This window comes from Homo sapiens, chromosome 18 (genome assembly GCF_000001405.40).
Source record: "Homo sapiens chromosome 18, GRCh38.p14 Primary Assembly".
NCBI classification, from domain to species: Eukaryota; Metazoa; Chordata; class Mammalia; order Primates; family Hominidae; genus Homo; species Homo sapiens.
In genome coordinates, this window is record NC_000018.10 from 33496715 (window position 1) to 33502714 (window position 6000).

Here is a 6000-nt window from a genome sequence, read left to right on the forward strand (position 1 = left end):
TAGAATGTTACATGTACCGTCTCTAACTACTAAAAGACCCACATTCACGTGCCTCTTCCTCCCTTTCCCAACTCAGGCCAGGCCACAGGTTCAGGGGTTTTTCTGATGGCCCTTCCCAAACCCAGCATTTGTATATTTGTCCCATTTTTTCAGGGTCTTCCTATGTCACTTGCTGGTTAACTGGAAAGATTAATTCCATCTGTCAGGTGGTAAAGACAGATCCCATGCTTGTTAAATCGTAGTCTGAGCTGGGAGAGCAGCCAAAGCCACAGGACAAATATGAAGTATTAGCATTACTTTTAAACTCTCTCAAATACTATCCTATACAGAATCTCAATTTTGGCCTCAGAAAGACCTCGTTAGAGACTATAGTATATCTCCTTGAAAACCTGAATTTAAATTACATTACTTTAAATGTAATACATTGATAACTGTCCTTGAAATATGTATGTATTACAAGCTGAGAACCAAAAAATTATTTCAGGAAATAAGTATTGTTTTGAATGAAATCGTTATTTAAAAACAGAAGTGATTGTGCGATGAAGTACCTATAAGCTATGAGAAAACATTTTGTTTCTTCTAAGAATAACAAGAGTAACTATTGAATTTTGTCCAATATCAAGCCAGCAATTAAGTGGCTAATTAAAATTCCAGTCAGAACACAAAAATACTTACAATAACATTCAATAAGATTGATTAATAATTGTAAAGTAGAATCATTTCTATTTCGTAAAAATATTTAGAAAAATTATTGTGCTCCAAGATGATAGATATTTTTAAATTTTGCAGAAAAAAATGAACAACAAACTTCGCCTTCCACTACATATAAGAGAAGACCTAAAATCCGAATTTGGGCAGTTTTCGGCTATTTTAATGATCCATTCAATCCCGGTACAGTTCATTAAGTAAATTGTGCCATGTTAAGATGGACTTATAAACTAAATCAACTGGAAAACAGCTGATTTGTTGGTATGGTTCAGCACAACCTTAATAAGTATTGTCATTTCCCCAGATTTTTATAGAATTATTTCATGTGATAGAACTTCACTAACGCAAATCTATGAACATTTTACTAAGATTCAGATTTTACATTATTTATGAAGACGGGATATGCCGAGCAAATTGACAGATGAAGATCCTAGGAATGTTTTATCTATTTGCAGCTGTTTTCAAATACTGTAGTAGTAACCATGTGTGCTAAAGCAATTAATGTGCTAATTACAGATGTGCCTTTATTCTAGTCCTTGGAGCAGAGTCAGCAAGGCCTCCGTTCGGCAGGGCTTTTCACTTTAGTTTGAATAACTGAATGTACTTAGAAATAAAATTGCCTTTAAAAGAAAGAAAGAAAGAAAGAAAAACTCCAACTTCATATGGCTCATGATTCCCCAGATTTGGATATCCCACTCATTGAATTCACCCTGTAAAACACAACAGCTGCCTAACATAAAGCTCTGTGGCAATGTAATTAATTTATAAAACAGGTGTTACTCCCATTTCTTCCATTCCTCAGTCGCATTGTTAAAAAAAAAAGTGGCTCATATAATTTATAATTCAAATATTATGCTAATTTGTAAAAATTTACTAATCCTTACTACACAAGGGGGAAATTGGTCCATGGAATATTTGAAAGTGCTAATTTATTGATTTTCAATGTTAAACTCAGAAGCAGCATAGGAGAAAGAAGAATCCAGGAGGGATTGTTTTTATTTTTGTTTTTATGCTGGCTACCATTCCTGTTTCCTGTTTTTTGGCAGCCTATGTGGTTTTCTTCCAGTCACATGGCATCTTATTCTAAAAGTCATATTCACTATGCCGGCTTCCCTAGGACCCAGGTGCATAGTAGTAATGGATTTAGATAAACAAGTAGCATTACGGTGATAGTGGCATAACTTTGTAGGGTTTCCCATTTGCTGCAATAGTTCTGCTGTTTCAGGGCCTATTCTCCTTTACATTTGCCCTATTATGTTAAAGGTGATGAAGGAAAATATTTAGTGAACTCATGGTAGTTAAGAAGATAAAAGGAAGGAAAGACGGTGGGAAGAGGTGGGGAAGTGAAAGGAGGGAATGGAGAGAGGGAGAAAGAAAGAAAGGGAAAGACAAAATATAGAGAAAATAGAATTTGGTATTATTGGTATTATAATGAACTCCTGAGCGACACCTTCAGAGGATCTAAATACGAAAAATTATGTTACACTGATGGAAGAGAGGGATTCAAGACTGTAAGAGAGCTCAAGGGGGCTTCTGGTAAGGTTCTGTTTCTTGATCAGCTTACTGGTTACATAGGTAGACTCAATTTGTCATAATTCATCAAACTGTACATATATGACATGCGTACTTTTTAGTGTGTATATTTCACTAAAATATTTTAAAATAAAACATGTGCTACAGGGGAACAGGCATTATCTTCCATCTGTTTTAAGTTTTCCTGGATAAAGTGACTTTGAAAGTGACTTAAAGCATCTCTCAACTTCGTAGTCAAATATGATCTTTACTTATCACAGAAAAGATAGTACTGGACTGCTAAGATTAGGTTTCAATTATGGCTCTAGCTCTTTGATAAACTGAGTGTTCTTAGATAAGTGGCTTTATCTCTCCCAAGGCTCAGTTTTCTATTTTGGAAAATGTTACAGAATCATTTAATGAGATATTAATTCCTACCTTGTTTTTCTTGTAGTAGTATGGACAGCCAGTCTGATGTTTACTTGGCTTCTCTGCTCCAGAAATAATCAATTTCTTTGGGTTTCAAGATCCATCCTAAGAAAAACCTCAAATGAGTCTTTGAAAGAACCAAAGTGCTGTTTGAAAGAAAACTGCAATTTCTGCCAAGTTGGATGAATGGAGGGCAGCTGGTGCATTTTGAGGAAGACAGAAGACATAGTTGGAGTCTTGCATCTGAAGCAGGTGGAGGAGTACTAGGATCAGCGGAGTTTTGGTCATACGCCTTAGTTCTTAGCAATCGGCACAATTTTCATGAGTCTGCAGCTGAGAGCAATTTCTCATCTTGACCCTACTGATGTATTGTGCCACATAATTCTTTTTTGTGGGAGCTGTTCTATGCGTCGTAGGATGTTTCGCAGCATCCCTGGCCTCTACCCACTAGATGCCATTAGCACCTCCTTTCTAAGCTGCAACAACCAAAATTGTCTCCATTATTGCCAAATGTCTCCAGAAGGACCAAATCCTCCATATTCCCATTGAGAACTAGTGGCATACAGCAAAGTGCTAGATACTGAATTTGTCATTGAAAGGATGAAGGGGAATAAATACCAGGAGCTGCAAAGCCACTTGGCATTGAATGGGCCTCTAAAATTGAACAATACACTTATAAAATGATTCCCATACAGACTAAGTCAAATACAACTTCCCCAGATTGTGTAAACCTAGCTTGTGTAAATCTCATATCAATCCCAAGAATTGTGGAGTGGGGGACTATTGAGAATGTCTTTTCATAAACCCTGCCAGGTGGAGGAGATTAAGACAGATCTGATTTGATTTAGACACCTAAAGAAATCTATCCATTATTTTATGTAGGTGTCATGGTGAAATCTGTACCTGTTACATGTGTTTAAAAAAAACTTAGCAATTTTTCTAACATACGGAAAACACTCAACAAATGTTAATCATGTTATTATCACCCCTACTTTATAGATGATAAAAGTCACAAAGAAGCAAAACTACATTTCTGAGAACCAGAGCTAATAAACAAAATGAGGACCAAAATAAATTACTCCTGGTGTCCCCACTCTATGTAACTCTGTTGCTTATATTAATGATAAATTTTTTATTGGAGTGCCTGGAAACTATTATTTTATCTCTTCTCAGTTCAATTTAGAAAATACAGGTATCCATCATGTGCTTTACATCCTATTCAGTCATTTCAGGATACAAGAATAATATATAACCCAATGTAATTATTGTGTTTGTGTGTGTGTGTGTGTGTATGTTTCTTTTGTGTGTTTTGTTTTATTTGTTTATTGGACAGTAAAGACACCTGAAGCAATATAAAAACCTTCCAGAATGTAGGCACTTAAGTATCAGAATGATGGATACAGATTGTACGTGCTAAAAGCATTCTGAAAAAGAAAGCTCAAAATAAATCAGGGTAGTTGAGGAAGGCATCATGGGCTTTGAACTAGCAATTTAAGAATGGGACTAAATTAAACTAGCAGTTTAAGAAGTACAGGTAGAAATGTTTGAGAAAAGTTTAATAACCAGGAAAACAACATATGCATTTCTACTGCATAAAAGCCCCACAATCCACCCCAGATTTTTATCTCCAGCCTCTGTTCTCTTTACAGCTTCTGTAGAGCCCATTCCTTCTAAATCCTCATGTTTTTTCAGTCACACTATGCTTTAACCCCCATTCAGGACTCGAGGCCTTTGTACATACTGCTCCCTTTGCCGGTATGCTTGCCTGTGGTCATTCTACTCACTCTGGCCCACTTCACTTGCAAATTCCAATTTTCCCTTCAAATTCAAAACTCAAATTTACCTCCTCATATCTCCTAAGAAGGAAATAATGAACTTCTTCTTCTTTATTAGGTGTCCCCCAATGTATCCTATATAGAATCTCTGAGAAGTTATATATATTAATTCAGTATTAATCCAGTATGATTCAAAATTGGTTTTTGCCCTTTAATAGAGTACCACTATCAAAACTCACCTACAGAAATACTTACCAGACCCTTTTAATTCATTTTTATCTGCACAACCTATACATAATGCTAATTTTCTATTACATTTTTCAAGTAAGTTACAACCAAATCTAAAATTACCTTTGGTCTCCATCCTCAATCCCAGTATTCTCTTTCATTCCCCCAAGGTAATTACTATTATGTCCTTTCTTCATATTTCCATTTTTTTACCTTTATTTAATATGTATGTGTGCTGTTATAAATTTTTTCTTGAGTGTGTTTTTATTTTGGTGGTACCACATTCTATGTAGTAAACAATATGTGATTTTTAAGTATCTGTGTTAATGCCTATGGATTGTGTATTTTAATTCACAGACAATATTTCATAAAATATACATTCCATGTTTGATTTAAACCTTTGTGAAAGACATTGTTTGTTTTTGATGTTTTGATTATCCAAATAATGCTGTAGTGAACTTTATTTTGCCCAAAAGTATGCATATCTGGAAGTAGAATTGCACGGTCATAGGCTCAAGACATTTATTTTTAATTGTATTTCCAAATTGCTGCCTAAAGTGAGCAAATCCATATACAGTATTCATAGCCTAAAGATAACTTAGAAAAAGTCTTGCTCTCCACATACTTACTGACACTCTTTATTGTCAGGTTTGTTTGTTTGTTTTTACTTCTGCTGAGTGTTAAAAAAATCACTTTTTTTTTGTTTTACAAATATTCTCCTGATTAGACTAATTTGAGAAAGACAGTTTTTTTTATAGTTGAATCAATTGCAACAATTTTTATCGGCGCATATTGATGCATGTTTCCCACTTAAGTTTTAAAAAATTATGTTGGGGTATCATTTACTTACAGGGAAATTAATCTCTTTTTGTGTATCCTTCTGCATTTGGACAAACACATACACTTGTAATACAAGTGTAAGTAAATGATACCACCACAATCAAAGCAATTCCATTGCTCCCCAAAACTTCGCTCACTCTGACTCTATGAATGTTTTTATAATATTGAATATTTTCATTTATAAATGTAGCAGGTAGTTCTGTGTATTTAGATACAAGTGTAAGTAAATACGCTTGTATCTAAATACAAGTGTAAGTAAATGATACCACCACAATCAAAGCAATTCCATTGCTCCCCAAAACTTTGCTCATTCTGACTCTATGAATGTTTATATAATATTGAATATTTTCATTTATAAATGTAGCATAGTTCTGTGTATTTAGGTCTATTTATAGCATTGCATTGAATTGTTATGTCCTTCTTTATACACATCTTGAATTTTTTAGTTTGTTGTTGTTGTTGTTCTTAACCAGGCTACTGTAAACAGGTTCTTAGTTTTTCTTTTTTA